Source organism: Homo sapiens, chromosome 6 (assembly GCF_000001405.40).
Source record: "Homo sapiens chromosome 6, GRCh38.p14 Primary Assembly".
NCBI lineage: Eukaryota > Metazoa > Chordata > Mammalia > Primates > Hominidae > Homo > Homo sapiens.
Genome location: NC_000006.12, coordinates 154,505,257 through 154,525,285, shown reverse-complemented (window position 1 = coordinate 154,525,285; position 20,029 = coordinate 154,505,257). Strand labels below are relative to the sequence as shown.

Sequence of the window (20,029 nt, the reverse complement as noted above, 5' to 3'; positions counted from 1 at the left end):
TGTATGTGTATACACATATATCTATATGTATGTGTATATATACACATATATCTATATGTATGTGTATATATACACATATATCTATATGTATGTGTATATACACACATATATCTGTATGTGTATATACACACATATATCTGTATGTGTATATACACACATATATCTGTATGTGTATATACACACATATATCTGTATGTGTATATACACACATATATCTGTGTATATACACACATATATCTGTATGTGTATATACACACATATATCTGTATGTGTATATACACACATATATCTGTATGTGTATATACACACATATATCTGTATGTGTATATGTGTATATGCACACATATATCTGTATGTGTATATGTGTATATACACATATATCTGTATGTGTATATGTGTATATACACACATATATCTATATGTATATGTGTATATACACACATATATCTATATGTATATGTGTATATACACACATATATCTATATGTATGTGTATAAACACACATATGTGTATATATGCATACACACATATGTAGATACACACATACACACATATGTATATACGCACATGTATATACACACGTGTATATACACATGTATGTATATATACACGTGTGTATATACATATATGCATATACATACATATATGTATGTACACATATACACATATATGTATATACACATATACACACATATACACATATATGTATATATACTTATATACACAGACACATATGTATATATATAAAACAACTCCTGGACCTTGCTTTTTAAGGTGGTAGAGGCAGACAATAAATGCAGTACATGAAGAGGGGGGATATCCATGAGGACAGCAATTCTTGCCTGTTTGGCGCACCACTGTGTCCCCCAGACAACACGGGGCCTGGCGCATGTGTGCATGAGTGATGCCTATTGAAGAGGTTAACAGTAACAGAGCAGGGAACTGCAGCACCCATGGGGTGGGAAGGGGGATGAGGTGGTGCTATGGTTTGGCTATTTCTCCCCTCCAAATCTCATGTTGAAATGTGATCCCCAATGTTGGAGGTGGAACTTGGTGGGAGGTGTTTTGGTCATGGGGACAGGTCCCTCATGAATGGCTTGGTGCCTTCCCCATGGTCACGAGTGAATTCTCACTCGGTTAGTTCAACTGAGTGCTGGTTGTTTAAAAAAGCCTGGCACCTCCTCCTCCTCTCTCTCCTCTTGCTTCCTCTCTCCCCATGTCACACGCTGGCTTCCTGGCCATCCTGCCATGACTAAAAGCTTCCTGAGGCTTCACCAGAAGCTGAGCCGATGCTGGTGAAATGCTTGTACAACCTGCAGATCTGTGAGACAAATAAACCTGTTATCCTTTATAAATTACCCAGTCTTGACTATTCCTTTATAGCAATGCAAAATGAACTAACACAGGTGGAAGGGTCGAGATTACTTATGATGCTCCACTTCATCATCTTATTTTGTTCTTACCATGATTTTCCTTTCTCCCAATATTCTTTGTAAGCTGTCTATACCTGGCACGCCATGTTTCTCTGCATTTATTTTTTAAAACCACTGGACAAGGGAGAAAAGTGGATGTCACCTGACCAGACCCAGGCCAGTGACGACACATCTCACAAGCTCCTGCCTGCTGTTGCCTCTTAAACAGAAGAGTGTCAGACAATTCTTATTTTCATTGTCCCAGGTATCAGTAATTCATAAAACATTCAATCGTCATTTTTTCTATTAAAGGTGGAATCCCATTATTAAGTCAGTTTTTATGTCCCTGATTTATTCATGCGCTATTATTTTCTCTGTTCATTCTCTTTTTCTCTTTTTAATTTCTGGGATTGCTTTCTTTAGGACATGGAAACCAATCTGCTTTTAGCTCAAGCCACCCATACAGACCTGGTACTAACTTTGCTTCTGAAATGTTTACCTATTTCTGATTTCACTGAACTTCCGTAGTTTCCATCTCTGGGACACAATTCAGCCAGGAAGCTGAACTCATACATACTTTTACCAATTGCCTAATATAAGACTAGTGTGATAATCTTGTTCACTACGGTGCCATCTTTTTGTGGTGAATTGTATTTTCTTTTGGAAAAGATGATCTAATTTTCAAAAATGTTATTTCATTTACATCACCTAGAACAGTAGGAGCTGGTGGTAGACACTCAACTCCTTGTTGGATTGATCAGGAGATAACTACAGGCTTTTTAAGGCTGTTTTAGACCTGAATGGTAAAATACAGAATAGCCATTTACTAGGCACTTCTTTAACGTCCAGTGAAGGCAAAGAAAGTAAAAGATACAATGATGACCATGGAAGAACACAGAGGAAATTGTACAGCTTGAATAGAGAAGCAATTTAGTAGAGAAGGATTCAATTGGACATGGTGGAAAATAATTAGATTGATTAGATGGGTCTTTAGATGCAAATAGGAATGCTGCTGAAAGAAAGAAAACGTACTGACCTGTCTGCTCTGTGGCACACATAGGAAAGCAACAGCTTTGTGAGTGTTGAAAATGAACACTGCGCTATTTATTTTGGCTCGTAGAAGACTTACCACATTGTACTCATGTTACAGTCCCTTAATATTTTGAAGTTGTTGATAGAGTTCATCATGTAGAGACCTTTTAGTACACTTCCACACCAGACTCTGGGGTGTTCGTGTGTGTGTGTGTTATATGTGTGTGTTTGGTAATTGTTTTTCTATAATACTTTCTCTTCTCATACTTGTTAAACACTATGTGTAGAAATTATAGAATTTTATCTACAGTTGAATCTTTTCCTTTTGTCAACAAATAGATTTCACAGGTACTGTATCTAAACAACAAAATTAACAGTAGAAAGGTTATTCCAGCTTTCAACTATAAATATGATGACCTTTTAACCCCTTTGCTGAAGTTTATTTAGCTTACCACTGATGAAACACTAGTCTAAAAAGTTTTTTATTCTCCATTTTTTAATCTGATACAAATTATGGTAAACTCATCAAGTGATTCACACATTCAAGAAATATTTATTTATTTATCAACACTGTAAGTCTATGGCAATGAACAAAACAAACTTTCTTCTTTCATGCAGCTTACATTCTAACGGGATAGGATTGATAATGAATCTATTAACATATAGTGCTTGATAAATATAGTATTGTATATTTATGTGATAGAAATCATCATGTAGGGCCGGGCGCAGTGGCTCACACGTGTAATCCCAGCACTTTGGGAGGCCGAGGTGGGCGCATCATGAGGTCAGGAGATCGAGACCATCCTGGATAACATGGTGAAACCCTGTCTCTACTAAAAAAATGCAAAAAAATTAGCTAGGCGTGGTGGTGGGCACCTGTAGTCCCAGCTACTTGGGAGGCTGAGGCAGGAGAATGGCATGAACCCGGGAGGTGGAGGTTGCAGTGAGCTGAGATCGCGCCACTGCACTCCAGCCTGGGTGACAGAGAGAGACTCTGTCTCAAAAAAAAAAAAAAGAAAAGAAATCTTCATGTAGAAATGAGTGAAATATTCTACATTTGTTATCTCTTGCTGCATAACATACCCCCAAACTTAACAGCTTGAAACGATAAATGTTTATTATCTCCCCCATTCCTGTGAGCCAGGAGTGGCTTAACTGGACAGTTCTGCTCAGGGTCGTTCACAGGTTGCAGTCAAGATGTTGGCCAGAGCTGCGGTCATCTGAGTGCTTGACTGGGGATGAAGGATTGCTTCCAAGGTAGCTGACTCCCACGGCTAGCAAGTTAGCATGAGCCATCAGCAGGAGGCCTCAATTCCTCACCACGCGGACCTCCACGAAGGGCTGCTTGAGTGTCCTCACAACATGGAGGTTGGCTTTCTCCCCTGGGGTGTGATCCAGAAGAAAGATAGGCAGAAGCCACAATGTCCTTCATGACATAGTCTCAAAGTCACATATCTTTACTTCTGCCATATTCTGTTAGAAGCGAGTCACATCCTCATGGGGAGGGGAATTAGGCTTTACCTCTGAAAAGGGAAATATCAAAGAATTTGTGGACATATTCAAAAGTTACCATAATTACCCTGATGCATTAAAAAACAAATGGTGTGCTTCAGAGACCTTTAAATTAGCCATGACTTGTTTTATTCTTATTGTTTGTTAGCATATAATACCTTGTTATGCCTTGTTTTACATCTGTTGCTTATTATCGATTAATATTATTGTTGGACAAAGAATTATTGACAATTTTGATTTCTTGAGCTTCATTCTTCTAACTACTTTAGTCACTTCTAAGCTGCCACCATCATTTAAATTTTCCTTAATAAAAATATTTGAGATTTTTCTTTTTCATTTCTGAAATTGTGGATGAATTTAAGATCACTTGTTATTACTTTACATTTGTATCAAAGATTATTTGCCTAAATGACAGCTATACTGGAATTACATGCTCCAGGGTAAAATAAAATCCCCTCTTAGTTTGATTTAGCCATTCCACACTGTGTGTGTATATCAAAATATCATCTTGTACACCATAAATATTTACAACTTTCATTTGTCAATTTGAAAAAAATCCCCTCCAGTTCTCAAATAAGTTAATTTTGTGGTGCATATATTGTCTACAGAAGTCCAGCTCCTATGTGGAGACTACTCAGGATTGTTGGTACATAAATACTGTAAGATAAAATGAAACTTTCCATTTTTGGTCAGTTACATTTTAGCCCAAAAACCTGGTGGGGGATTGTGCATGGTTGTTCCGAGGATATCAATAACATCTAAAGAAATGTGAGTCAAGGAGTAATTTTTTGGCTACTTGGCTATAATATTTACATACTTAACCGGAACAGATAAGAGGTTCTCCTTTTGTGGCCCATATGTGATGACAGTTACAAGGCTTATCTCTAAGTGACTGAAATGCTGAATGTGGAATTCATCAAGCTCGACTTTTCTCCATGACTGGACTTCTTCTTTGAGCAGTCTTCCATGAGACGCCTTCAGGGAGTCTTTAAAAGTATGGCAGCTCTACTGGAGATTGACAACGATTTAGCCTTTGGACCTTTTAGGATAAAGGACTTTTGTGAACTACATAAGGCTCCCTTTTCCCAGAAGGGAATGCTTTTAAGTTTCTTAGTGGATTAATTAGTAACTGAAGAAAACACCATTCCTTGAATTGTTGCCACTTTTCCAACAAATAAAACAGCAGAAAAAAATGCTATCAGAAGAAATTTTTAAAACCATATAAAAGATAATCAGTCAAATTTCAGACCTTGTCAGTTATGTAGAGGTTTAATTCGTACTAGATCCCACATTCAATAGAAGAAGCTGCTGATGGAGCCAGATGTTAAAGAGAGAAGGAGGAGTAGGGAAAGCATTGGTGAGCGAGTTAGCACCCTAGTTTTATAGTGATATAGATTGAAGAGGATGGAAGCTCTTTGTCTTAGAAACATCTAATATTTTACACAAAGAGCCCTAAATAAACAAAAGCCAAGTGCTGATTAAAGCAATACTTACATTTGAGAATTCTTTTGAGTGAGAGGATGCATACCTAAGATGTATTTATGTTGATGTTAAGCAGCATTGCAATGGTTAAATTTATGATGACAGGGCTGAGGAAGACATTGTAGATGATTTAATCACAGATGAAATGATTTGGTGGATCATTACTTGATGAAGAGATGTGGGAGGGCTACTAGAACCTTCCAGTACACTATTCTGGAAAAAAACAAAAAACAAAAACAAAAAAAACTCCACTGGTTTTGGATTTTCAGTCTTTGTAAAATAACAACTTAATTAGAGGTCATTTTATAGTTGTGTTTTCATATGAGGAAAAAAGAAATGAGAACCACAGAACTAAACAGAATACAAACTGTAAAAATCCAGAGAAATGAAAGCTCAAACAATATTTGCCTGTAAGGTTTGTGGGGAAGACAGAGCAAAGGGGGCTGGAAGGCAGATAATGTTTTGGTCCTAAGTGAAATTGGAGCCCCTTTGTTTACACCAGGTGTATCAGGGTTCTTCAGAGAAAAAAACCCAACATATATATATATATATATGTATGTATGTATGTGTGTGCGCGCGTGCGCAGGCATGTGTATATATGTATGTGTGTATATATGTGTGTGTGTATATGTATGTGTGTGTATATATATGTGTGTGTATATATATATATATATATATGAACACTTTGTAAAATATTAGGTGTTTCTGAGACAAAGAGCTTCCAACATCTTCAGTGTGTGTCACTGTAAAACTAGAGATGTCTCAAATATGCAAGATGCTAACTCCCCCATATATATACACACATATACCTACATATACATACATATATATACACACATATACATACATATACACACATATACATACACGTACACACACAGACATATATAAGTATATATCAATATACTTCATTTTTTAATTTGTTATGGGAATTGGCTCACGCGATTATGAAGGGTGAGAAGTCCCACCATCTGTTCTCTGCAAGTTGGAAAAGCAGGAAGACCAATGGTGTAATTCAGTCCGAAGGCCTGAGAACCTGTGGGGGGGTGGGGTGGGGGGCGGGGGTGGTGGGGGATGGGGGTATGGGCTACTAGTATAAGTACTGGAGTCTGAATGCCAGAGAACCAGGAACGCTGATGTCTGAGGACAAGAGATGACAGGTGCTCTGGCTCAAGGAGACAGAGACAAAATCCACACTTTCTCCGCCTTTGGTTTTATTTGGGCCCTCAGTGGTTGGATGATGGTCGCCCACAGTAGTACGGGTGATCTTTACTCAGCCTACTGATTCAAATGCTAATTTCATCCAGAAACACTCTCACAGACACACCCAGAAATAACAATAACGTGTTACCAGCTCTCTGGGCATCCCTTAGCCCAGTCAAACTGGTACCTAAAATTAACCATCACACCAGATGGTGTCTCTTTCTTGGGGAGTCAGACCCTCAAGGGGAGCCTGAGTTGGCATCTGATGACCAATAATGGCAACAAGTATTTCTCTGTGGATGTAATATCTTTATTTTAATACTGACAGAAATGCCTCAGTTTGACATGCAAAGTATGATTTGCTATCATTGCATTATTGATAGCTTCTGATAAATTGTGTATCTTCATTCTATATTAAAATATATAAACAATATACGGAACCCTGAATCTCCTTTCTATCCCATTGTCACCAGGCCCTCCCTCCCTCCCTCCCTTCCCTCCTTCCTCTCTCTCTCTTTTTTTGGAGTCTCACTCTGTCACCCAGGCTGTGGCGCAATCTCAGCTCACTGTAAGCTCCGCCTCCCGGGTTCAAGTGATTCTCTTGTCTCAGTCTCCCAAATAGCTGGGACTACAGGCACTTGCCACCATGTCCAGCTAATTCTTTTTTTTTTCTTAGTAGAGACGGGGGTTTCACTATGTTGGCCAGGCTGGTCTCGAACTCCTGACCTTGTGATCCGCCCGCCTTGGCCTTCCAAAGTGCTGGGATTACGGGCGTGAGCCACCATGCCCGGCTTGCCTCTCTCCCTCCCGTCCTCTCCTCTCCCCTCCCCTTCCTTCCTTTCTTTCTGTCTTTTTCCCTCCCTCCCTCCCTCCCTTCCTTCCTTCCCTCTTCTTTTCTTTTCTCTTTCTTTTTGGAGACAAGGTCTCACTCTGTCACCTAGGCTGGAGTGCAGTGGCACAATCATGGCTCACCACAGCCTCGACCTCCTGGGCTCAAGTGAGCCTCCTGCCTCAGCCTCCTGAGTAGCTGGGACCAAGGCACGCACAACCACATCTGGCTCATTATATTTATTTATTTATTTATTTTGTAGAGACAGGGTTTCACCCTGTTGCCCCAGCTGGTCTCGAACTCCTGGGCTCAAGTGATCCACCCACCTCAGCCTCCCAAATTGCTAGGATTACAAGCATGAGCCACTATGCCTGGCCATTTCCAATTTTCAAACCTAATGTTTCCAAAACCAATTCAGCAAGTGAGTTTACACAACCACAGTAAGCCATGTGAACTCACGGCAGACAGGAAGGAATTCATTTGTTCTCTCATTCAAAAATGGCTTCTTGGTCAGGCAGTGTGGCTCACACCTCCCAGCACTTTGGGAGGCCGAGGCAGGAGTATTGCTTGAGTTTAGGAGTTTGAGACCAGCCTGGGCAACATAGTAAGACTCTGTCTCTACAAAAACAAAACAAAACAAAAAATCTTAGCCAGGCATGGTAGCACGTGCCTAAAATCCCAGCTACTCAGGAGGCTGAGGTTGGAGGATTGCTCGAGCCCAGGAGTTTGAGGCTGCAGTAAGCCATGATCATGCCACTGCACTCCAGCCTGGGTGACAGAGCCCTCTCAAAATAAATAAACAAATAAATAAATAAATAAATAAAATCCCCTTCCTTAGCTGCCCTCAACAACTGATATCTCAATATTAGAAAAGAGAATGTTACAGCTAGAAGGATCCTTAATGTTCCTTTCCACCCAAAGAAGCTGACTTGCTCAAGGTTACAGGGCCAGTTATAAACTGGGTAAGAGATTGGGATAATAAAGTTAGTTGGGATCGCGAAGTGTTCCTCTTGGAAACATGAATTTTCCAAGAAAAGGGAAATCTTAGGCCAGCACTTTAGTGGAAATGAAGTTATCTCACAAGAAGACATGGACGCAAAGGCAGAGGAGGTGACTCTGGAAAAGGAGTGACACAGTTGGCACACTTGGCCCCTTCGATGGCACTGCGTGGTCCTCCCAGGTGAGACCAGCATTGCATTTGTATTCCTGTCCTTCTTAAACCTTAAGAAGGTGCTTTATGAAGTGGGCCCTATGTCTCTTGTCCTTTCGTGCTAGGAGAAATATTAAATAGATAGAAACCCCATACTCCATCTGGCTGGCCGCTGAGCGGTACACCCAGGGGATGTAACTTGGAGCAGGACAGAAGTGAAGTCTGTGGCCTTAATTTCCCAGTGTTATTCAGGTTCTCCCTTGGGTTCTCTCCACTAGCAGCAGAGATTTCCTTGGACTCAGGTAACACTGGTTTAACCACCCAAGGGCTTTCTGTGGCTCCCTAAACTGAGGCTCCTCCAGCTTCTGAAATCCCTCTTGCCACCTGCCTGTTACTCCAGCTGTTTCTCTGGGACTAGGCCCAGGAGAATGGGAAAAAAAGTGGAAAAGAAACGGATAGAAGCCCATTCCTTTGTAACCAAAAGCAAAAGTTATACAGAACTCGAACGGAAAAAGAGATTTGATCTGGGAGTTTTCCCAGAATGGAATGCGCATGTATTAAAACAATTACTGTAAAACAATGACTGTCGCTATCATTTGTGAGCTGGTTGTGGATTTCAACAATCACTTTGCTGACTTTTTGGCAGTAAGTGTGAGTTTTCCTGTTCTATGAGACCTTTGGGAGTGTTCTCAAAATCCTATGAAATCATCTGACTGCCTACAGGAAACCCTGATTGGTATTAATTTTCATCCTTTCCCTTTTGATGTTGAAGTAGACTGAAACACTTCCTGCTTTTCTACGTTCTTTTTCTTTCCACCGCTCTCCCATCCCAAATGGTTATAGTATTTCCAAATGCAAGGAGCTAGTTGTGGAAAATTAAGGAATAGTCTCCTGTTACAGGCTCAAATGTCTAAGGATCCCAAAGGGGAAACATATATGTGCCTTTAGTAAAAATCTGGATGTGTTGATTAGCAATGGCTGCAGAATTTAAATACCTTTGGTAGGTTGAAACTAGAAGAAAGTCTCCTCCTCTGTATGGAATGGTAGCTAAGTAATGGAAGAGCAGACAACTTTTAGACTGAGCTCAAAGTTAATTAAAGCTCCTTAGTTATAGTCTGGGGCATTTGGGTATATATTTCTATTTTATTTGAAACAGGATTATTAAATATTTGTTATGCCAAACTGAAGTTAGAAAAATATAAAACAATACATATTTTTAAATTGTTATTATTTATTTTTACTAGAAGTGTCTTGAATACATAAAACAATATATAAACTATTTTTATGTTCTTGTTAACATTGTAGAGATTTTAAAAAATTTTAGCTTAGTGCGTTTAGGATACTCAAACCTGCTCTTTCTTTCTTTCTCTCTTTCTTTCTTTCTCTCTCTCTCTTCTTTCTTTCTTTCTTCCTTTCTCTTTCTTTCTTTTTTTTTTTTTGAGACAGAGTTTCACTCTTGTCACCCAGGCTGGAGTGCAGTGGCATGATCTTGACTCATTGCAACTTCTGCCTCCCGAGTTCAAGGGATTCTCCTGCCTCCCGAGTTCAAGGGATTCTCCTGCCTCAGCTTCCTGGGTAGCTGGGAATATAGGCACCCACCACCACACCCAGCTAATTTTTGTATTTTTAATAAGAGATGGGGTTTCACCATGTTGGTCGGGCTGGTCTCAAACACCTGGCCTCAAGTGATCCACCCGCCTTGGCTTCCCAAAGTGCTGGGATTACAAGCATGAGCCACCAACCCCGGCCAAATCTGCGTTTTATTTCCAAATGTTATATTTTTACATTGCCTAACTTAATTATTGTTTTATTTTTAGGTTTAGAGTGATGTTCATTAATCTTTTTTCACCCTGAGACTTTGTCCTTATCAGCATAGAATTTATGATTGAAGCAAAAATCACCGAGTCTGAAACTCTTGGTATTATATTGACTTGTTCTGAGATTATGAGTCCCATAAAGTTAAATTGGAACTGTAAGAACAGCTGGTGTAAATGGCATTCTGTTCTTTTTGGATAATCTGCAACTCGATAGGGGGTACAAAAAGTAATAAAAATCCACAGGAAAAAATGCAGGCTTGATTGTTCCCTCTTTGTCTGTGGCACCCTCCTTCGTTAGTAGCTTCTGCACTTCAGGGCAAGGACATCCAGTTCTTTTGTGGGTACTGCCTCATCTATCAACTCTTCCAAGGTACAACGATAAGGCCTTGAAAATAGAATTTAGCAACATCAATGTTTCTCTTTTTATTAGAAAAGATTAATCAACTTTTCCAAGTATGATTTAAAGTAGGTGAGGTTTTTGAATATTTATCTAATTGACATTGATCTTTGAGTTAGAGATAGGGCTCAGTAAAAGAAAGCCAAATACCAGCTTTCCAACTGTAGAATGACTTAACGTTCCTGAATGATCAGAAGAATTTGAATAAGTGAGGCAGCACTTGAAAAATAAAATATAATAAAGTTTGAAGTCTTTACTACCTGAATTATCTGATAGGGAACCTGGCATGTTCAGGGAGATAACTACATTACCGTGGTGTGAAGAATTCAGACCAAATGGAATTAAATGAAAGACAAGAACATGAGCAGTCTGGATAATTTAGTTAACCAGTGATGACTTTGCACTGATGTAATGTCATAGATAAGAATGCTTAGCTCTAACTGTAGGATATTTTCCAGGCAGAAAACTGCAGACGTTTTTGGTATCTCTCAAGATAAAAGATAACTTAAGAACATACACGAGACAATTATATGTGAAAAAATTAAATAATTTTGAATTTTCTGAAAATAGTTAAAAAGAAATGTGAGGGAAAGAAAATAAGAGAAGAACCTCAGATTGCGAAATAAAGTTGAATATTTAGAGCAACTTGCTTTCTTTCTTTCTTTTATTCTGGAAAACATTACATTGTTTTTAACTGGGGAAGGAGACTGGCTTTTTGCAGATTAATAATTTGCTTAAAAGTTTGCTTAATTTGCTCCTCTGTGTTTATCAAATTATAGGTATAACCACCAATCCAAAATACTCCATCCCTTGCTCTCACATAAAGAAGTAATAAATTTTGAACAAGCTTAAAACGTTAATATCACATTGGTCCTCGAACTCCCTTGTTTGTGTTTATTTACCAGGTCACTTTCCTTGGATGAAAGACTACAGAAGAAATCCACCTTTAGAAAGTCACATGGTGTTTTTGATCTAAAAGGCTACTCATCATTTCTGAATCCTCCTAGTGCTTAGTTTAGTGAGTACCTAATACGTATTTCATCAACTGAATAAATGACTTAAACATGCAAGAAGGGTCAAAGTCAGAAAAACGGAAGAGCTGGAAAGAAATCTAGAAGATCTGGGTTCTAGTATCTGTTCTACATATTAATTCAATTTTAAAAAGGCTTATTGAACTCCTTGTATGTGCGAGGAATTGTAGTAAACATTAAGACACAAATGAAGAGTTCTGATCTGGAAGATGGCATAGCTGCAGTTTGGTAATGTGCGTGAACATATGGTGTAATAGCTACAGATTTTAGCTAGCAGAGAAGAAAAGTTAGCAAATTTACAAATTATCCTTTTATATATACTTAATTTTTAAAGCCATTTACTTAAGATTCTGCCTTTATTAGCTTTGTATGCCATTAATAGCTTTGTATGTCCTCAAGTTTGCATTTCAGCTAGGAAGGCAGGCCTCCCTAAAACTTTCACGTGCTAACAGCTGTAATTAAGGTAGAAGGCTTTATTTAAATAGTAATTAGCTTCCAGAAGTTGAAGTGTAAACAGAATGCTAATTCATTTAGATAGTTAATTGGTCTTCCGGGTTAGAGATCTTAGCGTGGCCTTCCTCTTTAGCTATGCTGTATTTATGTACCAAGTATAGATAGTGTGTTGGCTCCGTGGGATGTTTTGCAAACTCTTGCTTGACTCGCAGAATTTTAGTGTTTTAGCTCTTCTGGTAAAGACTACTGCCAATGAATCTGAAGACGTGAAAACATCAAGTAAAATTCCACGGCAAAATCATTAATATTTGACCTTTCTTTTATAATTGTGGGGACCGTATGGCCCAGTTTATTCATGTTATTCCAATGTAATTCTTGATAGTTGCTTCTTTCATGCTCAAGAATATTTTGATTTGGAGGTAAGTTATGTGGTCACCCTAATCATAATCAGAAATCACACAACAGGCAGTGATTGCTGAAACAAAAGGTGTGCATCAGGTTGGTTACCCTTTCCAGTGAACCAGTGTCAAGGTCCTTCTCTCTGCTGACTGCTGTAAAGATGGTTAATGCTGGATGTCATTAAGTTTAAAGGTCTTTTTTTTTTTTTAAGGACAACTACTATATCAGGAATTTTGTCATTGCCTTTGCCAACTTGTGTGGTCTGCCAGTCACTTTCGCTAGATGAAGAAAAAGAATCACTATATTTGATAGTTGTGTGTCTCTGTGTTGCCCAGTCCTCTAGGGGAGTTGAATGGGAGGTGGGTCTGATGTTTTGCTTTTTAAAAATGTTTCTTTTGCTTGGATGCTCCAGCTCATCAGATGCTAGGCTGGCTGCTAGCTATTTTTCCACATGTGCGTCCAAACAGACCTGTGTAAGTAGCACATATCACACGAATTCAACAAATACTGAATGAATACAGTGGCTGGCACATAGGAAGCATTCCCGGATATTTACTGAATGAATAAATACCAACCTTGCCTTTGGTCCCGTGCTGGGTGCTACAAGTTAGGTGGTAGGAAGAAAGGGAGGAGAGAAAACTCTATATGAGATCAAGTAGGTTCTGCCCTCAAGGGGTTAATAGTCTCCAAGAGGAAGATGTAAATAAATAACCGTAATTGAAAGTAAGAATCATTCAGTGCCAAAAAGAGTGGGAGGAAGAGGTTGCTGGGCGGGGCGGGGCGGGGGTGGGGGGTTGGGGGGGGTGTTGGGGGGTGAGGGGAGGGGTGGTGGCGAGGGTGGCAGGGGTTGGGGGGGCGGTTAGGATGCAGGGAGAACTTGAAGGAGAGGCAGGCATTCAAATTAGATTTTCCCCCAGTTTAGCATTAACTCTGGCCCCAGTTGCAGTCCATGAATGTGGAAGGGCCCTCCCCTGCCAGGCGCTGAAATTGTGCACGAGCTATTTTTTTTTTCTTGGCTAACAGCTTTCCTCTCACGGTTAATGACTAATCCCAAGGAGCATTAGCTCACTCTGTAAATATGAAATTATAATATAGCAAAATATAACGCTAAAAGCCATCAATCTAATTTTAGTCGCAAAGTTGAAATTTCATAGCAATAGCATTAAAAGAGTTACATTGTTACGATTTCAGTCAACATATAAATGAAATAAAATTGTTCTGGCCTGGCGCGGTGGCTCAGGCCTGTAATCCTAGCACTTCGGGAGGCCGAGGCTGGCGGATCACCTGAGTTCAGGATTTCGAGACCAGTCTGGCCAACATGGTGAAACCCTGTCTCTACTAAAAATACAAAAATTAGCCGGGCGTAGTGGCAGACGCCTGTAATCCCAGCTACTCCGGAGGCTGAGGCGGGAGAATCGCTGGAACCTGGGAGGCAGAGGCTGCAGTGAGCTGAGATCGCGCCACTGCACTCCAGCCTGGGCGACAGAGCGAGGCTCCATCTAAAAAAAAAAATTGTTCTACTTTAAGAAACCTAAAATGACGGCTTAATGGCAGAGTAGTATTACGATATAAAGCATTTAAAATGAACAGAACATGCAGATCTTACTTTTTTTTTTCTTTTCTTTTTTTTTTAGTGTATTGTTGCTCACAGCGAGACAGAGTGTTCTGCTACCCACAGGGCCAGGGCCTCACACAAACCAGCGGGCTCTCCAGGGTGCGCGCGCGATCTACAACCCGCCCCTTGAAAAGGAAAGCGGGGCCCGGGACGCTGCGGGTGTGAGCCGGACCGGCTTAGAGAGGGAAAGTAACCCGAGTCCGCCGCTTCGGGCGGACCCGCCCCCTCCCACGAGTTTCCCTAGACCCTCGGCCCCGCCCTCTCTTTTATTCGGTTTGCAGCAACCGGAGCTGAAACTTTGCAACCCGAGCGCGCACGCTCTGCGCTCGGCCCTGCCAGGGCGGCACGGGAGGGCGGCGCAGGAGGTGGGACCTGCGCCGGGAAGGCTCCGGGACGCCAGCGCACGCGGAGCGGGGACCCCGGAGAGCCAGCAGGCGAGAAGACCGGCCGAGGGAGAGCCGATCGCGCCTCGAGAGATCCGAGGAAGTGGTCGCGGGCCGGGAGGCTCCCGTGCCGAGCCGAGGCCAGGGGTCTGGGGTCGCAGCCCGGCGTGCCTGCAGCTGCCGTCGCTCGGGAGCAGCAGCTGTGCCCGGGATCCCGGCGGCGGCGGGGGAAGGAGGAGCTGCAGCTGGACTGTGGCAGCTGGAGGGAGAGGGCCGGGCTCCCCTGGCGGAGCCGCGCTGGGACGACTGGCTGACCGCGGCCATGCAGTCTTGACGGAGTCGCTCGGGCGCAGGGGAGCAGCCGCGGGCGCGCCCTCCCGGGAAGGGGCACCGGAGCGCAGGCAGCAGCACTTTATCTGCGACTCTCCAGCCCAGCGAGAGGCGAAGCGGTTTACCATGGAACCCGTGACCAAGTGGAGCCCCAAACAAGTGGTGGACTGGACTAGAGGTGCGCGGGCCTTGGGGGGGTCCGGAGTCCTCCAGCCTCGGGGATGGGGCGGACGAGGAGCTGGGGAAGAGGGTACTTGGCCCTTCCTCCCGGCGAGAAGCGGTGAGGGCACAGCCCGGTGACAATGCAAACTTCTGCCGAGTGGCCTGTGCGCTCCTATCTCTCGTACCTGCTCCGAGCTCTTCCTTTCCAGGGTGCGGATTGTGGCAAGCCGAGGGGAGCCCTATCTTTAAACCAGGGAGTAGGGGTGGCCTTTCTGTGGCGGTTGAGGGCTGGGGATGCCGATCTCGGGACTCGGCACTCGGGCCGGGGGGCGCTCTCCCTGCCTGGCCCCGGTGCGGTGCCCGGCGACCCGGGGGCCCGAGTGCAGAGGCACAAGGTGCCTTTGTGTGGGTGACTCCCGCGGGACCTCGTCCATGCCGCCTGCCCAGAGCCGTCCGCAGGCGTGACAGGGCTGTCGGACAGGTAGAGGGAGACTCCGGCGGGTCCGCCGAGCCTGTCTGTTTTTGTTGGAGAAGGCGAGAGGGCCGCGCAAAAGCCAACACCATAGCATTTGCGCCAGGGAGAAACCTCGAGCCAGGACTCCCCGGGAGGCAGTGACTTTTGCTCCGGGAGGCGCCAGTATCCCCGGTGGCGCTGCATTTTCAGGCCACATGTAAGCACTGGGAAGGAGAAATATAATTGTTTGGAACCACTGTCTTGATTCATACAATATTTGGGATGAGGAAGGCAGTGGGGCTGGGGCGGTGGGGGGGTGGTGGGGGGAATGAGCAGAGGTAGAAGCTTGTCCTCCTAGCTGGCTCGCTTACTTTTCAATGTCTCCTACGATTTCGAGGGAAAGGTACTAGAGTTTACTCAACCCTTTTCTGTACTTTCAAGAGAACAAAGTCCACCAAGAACAATCTGTATTTTCATGGTTTCCCCCCACCCCCAACGACATCTCTGTTTCAAGTTACTATTTGTTTTTCTATCTGCTCTTCCAGGTGAGGAATGGTGTTCTTTCTCAGTAATAACTAGAATTGTGTAGCGCTTTACAGTTTGCTAAGAGCTCTCTCTGTTATTGTCCTTGGTCATCACAGTAAGCCTGTGAGGTAGGTAATACTGGTAAGACCAGGTCGTCTTTCAAACCGTCCCACCCATGGCTGCAGCATAATGAAAACTGATCACCGCTACATCTCATTTCTCACGCCTGTGACTTACACATAGACCACGTGGAATAGGATGTCCGAGGTGTGTGGGGTGTGTCAGTGGGTATGTCTGACCATTTCCTGCTCCTCTGGGAGAACTCCTTGAGAACGGGTTTGTCAAGTGAGCAGAATTTCCTGGACTCCTATATAAAATGAAGCTAAAAACAACACATGTTTCTGCCTTGGTGACTAGGTTTCCCTTGGTAAAGAGTAAGTGGCATTGCCAGTACTTGGTAGGAAGCATGAGCTTAAAAGCCATCCATGCCCACGCTAGCTTGAAATGAGGTGTGTTCCTCCATTCAAGATGCTGCCAAATTCCCTAGGCTGGCAGCTTCCTGAAACTGAGTTGATATGTATTTTATCTGTATGTCCCTCATAGAGCCAACTTGAGACACTGCAAATTTCAGCTACTGTTGACTTCTAGAGCCGCTCTGTCCAACTTAGTAACCAGTACCACTTGTGGCTCTGCAGCCCTTGAAATGTGGCTGGTTAGAATTGCAATGTGCTGTAAGTCTAAAATACACATGGCATTTGAAGACTTGGTATGAAAAAAAAGAACATGAAATATCTTAATACTTTTTATTACATGTGGAAATGATAGTATTTTGATACGTTAGGTTAAATAAAATATATTACTAAAATAAGCTTCACCTGTTTATTTTTACCTTCTTACATATGTCTCCTAGAAAATCTAAAATAACACAGGGCTCACATTTGTGGCTTCCATTATATTTCTATTGGACAGTTCTGCTGTAGCAGAAAGAAAGGGTTACATCTTATCACCCTGGCTTTTCTGAGCCTCTGCCAGCTTAGTTGATAATGTACAATCAGAAAAATGGTAACAGGCGCACAGGAAGATTATGGAGTGAGATCTTCACACCCTCAAGATTTGTGTCTGGTTTTGTTGTTGTTGTTGTTGTTGTTTTTGTCCCTCTTGGGATTGGAAAAGGAGAAGCGTAAAATCACATCCTGTTATGTTTGTTGAGTATTTAAAAGGGAAAGTAGATTAAAACGTTTTTGTTAGCCAGTTGCCTTGACGTTATCAGTTAGTTGAGTTACTTTCATCTAGGAAAAGTTTTCTCCTGACCTGAAAGAACATCTATGGCTGGCTCAATACCTACGATACTTACTAGGTTACATACCTGTGGTTGGCACTTGACTACGTTATACAAAATGCCTGTGCCCTTTTGGACCCTGAAATACAGCTTAGTAGAAAGACCTGGATACGTTCTGTGTTCGAATCTAAAAAAGATGGCTAAGATGATAAGAGGCTGCAATCTTCCAAGTTGCGTGACCCATTACTTGAATATTTCTCATAATAATGATGCTCAAGTATTGACTTTTTAATGAACTATCGACTTACAAAAGCTCGTCTGCTTATAGGACTATTTTTAGTGCTCTTTGCTAATCTCTTTACCCAACCTTTATTTTATAAATACATGCTACTGATAAGCAGCTCTTCATGTAGACTTTGCTACTCTTGGTATTGCATGAATCTGGGTAGGGCGATTATGAGAACCATAGAAGGCCTTAGATTTAAAACTGTCTAAACCTGGCCACAGTCGACAGCTGGATCTCACCTCCTTGTTATTTGACAGATGTGTGCCTTAGGAAAGAAGTTCTTGTCTACAGAATGAATTAACCTGTCTGGCTTTTATTATTAATGTTTAGCTACACTGTCACCAATTTTACCGTAATGTTAGTGGATCCTCAGTAATTATTAAGCAGTGTGTCAGGCACATGTCTAAGCATTGTACAAATATCAGCTCATTTAATAGGCACCACCACCTTTGAGGTAGGAACAGTTATTTCCATTTTGCAGTTGAGGAAACCGAGTCACACACAGATTGACCGATGTCACCCAGCAGAGCAGGTGGTTTGGCTTCACTCCACTCCATTTTCTCAGGAGTTTCTTCCCAAGGCCACATCTAGACCACACCGACAATCTTTACATTTATGAATAGAACTTCAGGATTCGGTCTGAATAGCATATGGTAGCGGAGGAGTCTCATCCAGTATATGTCTGTGTTATTCTCTATCTTTAGTTCATGTCAGAAAGTTATTTGTAAGTCAAATTAATTCCTAGTTCATGGCGCCTTGCCAGTCAGTTCAGTAAAGGCCTTTGCAAAGCAAATGATCTTTTACAACGTGTAGGGTTAGCCGCACATAACAGAAAACCCAGTGGGTTAACCAAATTGGGGTTCCATGGCGCTGCCATCTTGTTCAGCCATTCGTAGCACATGGCGTAGGGTATGGCCTGGCACATGGTGTTCATTTTCATACTTAATGCTTCAGTGCAAGGTGGCGGCTCCTGCATGATTGTCTTCCTATTCCAGGCAGAAGGGAGTCTCATGGAAGACAGAAGACAGGTAGCAGCCAAGTCTTCCCCTTTAAAGAGTTCTTTGAAAAACTGTCAAGTGACCTGGTTTACATCTCAGGTGCCAGAAATGTCACATGGCCACCTCATGCAGCAGGGAAGGCTGGTTGCTGTAATTTCTTTCTTTTTCCTTCTTTTGTTTCTTTTCTTCTTTCTCTTTCCTCCCTCCCTCACTACCTCCTTCCTCCCCTTTCCTCTCTTTTCCTTTCTTTTCCTTTTCATTTCTTCTTCCTTTTTTGCTTTTTCCCTTCCTTTCTTTTTTTTTAAGTTTGGTACATTGTGGCCCTGAAAAAAACTTGGAGTTTGGTCAGAAAGGAAAAAGGGGAGAATAGATATTGGTAGGCAGGCAACAGGGATTTACATGCACTGATTTTCATAGCTCAGTTCTCAGAGTACACATGTGCCACATTCCCTACTTATATCCAGCCCTGTTTTAGAAAAAGCATTATATCTTCATTCCTGTCCAACCTTCTTAGGTCAAAATCTGAACTTATATGAGGTCCTTTTCTCTAAGCTTGATTTAAATATGAGAAATTTCATTGTCAAATGCAGCTACCACAAGTCGTTTTTCTGCTTTAAAAAGGCCACTGGGGAGTGCCTTCGACGAGGAAGACGTGGGACTGGTTGTCCCAGCAGAACTGTCCTAGCCTTGGCTGTTGATCAGCCTCGAGTGGGTAGGCTCTCAACAATTGTGTAGTTGGCCAGGCGCGGTGGCTCACGCCTGTAATCCCAGCACTTTGGGAGGCCGAGGTGGGCGGATCACAAGGTCAGGAGATCGAGACCATCCTGACCAACATGGTGAAACCCCATCTCTACTAAAAAATACAAAAAAAATTAGCCGGGTGTGGTGGTGGGCGCCTGTAGTCCCAGCTACTCGGGAGGCTGAGGCAGGAGAATGGCATGAACCCGGGAGGCGGAGGCTGCAGTGAGCCGAGATCGTGCCACTGCACTCCAGCCTAGGCGACAGAGTGAGACTCTGTCTCAAAAAAAAAAAAAAAAAAATAATAATAATAATAAAATTGTGTAGTTGAGTCAGCACATCTCTAAAACCCACCTTTGGTCCCAGGACAGAAGTCTCTCTGGCCAGCTTCTGGTGCTGCTAGTGTTGGTAGCAGTCCCCATCACCAACCAAGAGAAAAGGGGGCTTTCTTGCTCAAGGTCTAAGCCACGGGACTTGCTCTTTCCCTGTCGTGTCTATTTGTTTATGACACATAGCAGTCTTAAGGTGCTTGACTATTTGGC

The 20,029-nt window shown here is 42.4% G+C and overlaps 1 protein-coding gene and 1 long non-coding RNA gene across 4 annotated transcripts in view, besides 1 other annotated feature; one reads left to right on the top strand and one right to left on the bottom strand.

The window, feature by feature from the left end:
- Positions 1-2,974: 2,974 nt before the first annotated feature.
- Positions 2,975-14,495, bottom strand: LOC101928868 (uncharacterized). Its single transcript, XR_001744422.2, has 2 exons — positions 14,324-14,495; positions 2,975-3,967 (listed from the first exon to the last, which is right to left on the bottom strand). It is a non-coding gene; the product is annotated as an uncharacterized LOC101928868 (long non-coding RNA).
- Positions 11,102-11,342: a transcriptional cis regulatory region, noted in NCBI's record as "candidate enhancer chr6.5343 targeted for multiplex CRISPR interference". NCBI's record gives its function as "positively regulates CNKSR3 gene expression with high confidence in K562 cells {active_cell/tissue: K562}" and the evidence as "EXISTENCE:mutant phenotype evidence [ECO:0000015][PMID:30612741]".
- Positions 14,496-14,600: 105 nt separating the features above from the next.
- The window catches only part of CNKSR3 (CNKSR family member 3), a 123,171-nt gene continuing 117,742 nt past the window's right edge, over positions 14,601-20,029 (top strand). For 2 of the 3 annotated variants that reach the window (NM_173515.4, NM_001368117.1), the window contains exon 1: positions 14,601-15,223. In NM_173515.4, coding sequence (NP_775786.2) covers positions 15,172-15,223 — 52 coding nt within the window. In that variant the 5' untranslated portion in view covers positions 14,601-15,171. Of the gene's footprint in view, positions 15,418-20,029 lie in introns of all 3 variants that reach the window. The other variant, NM_001368116.1, reaches the window with a different exon arrangement.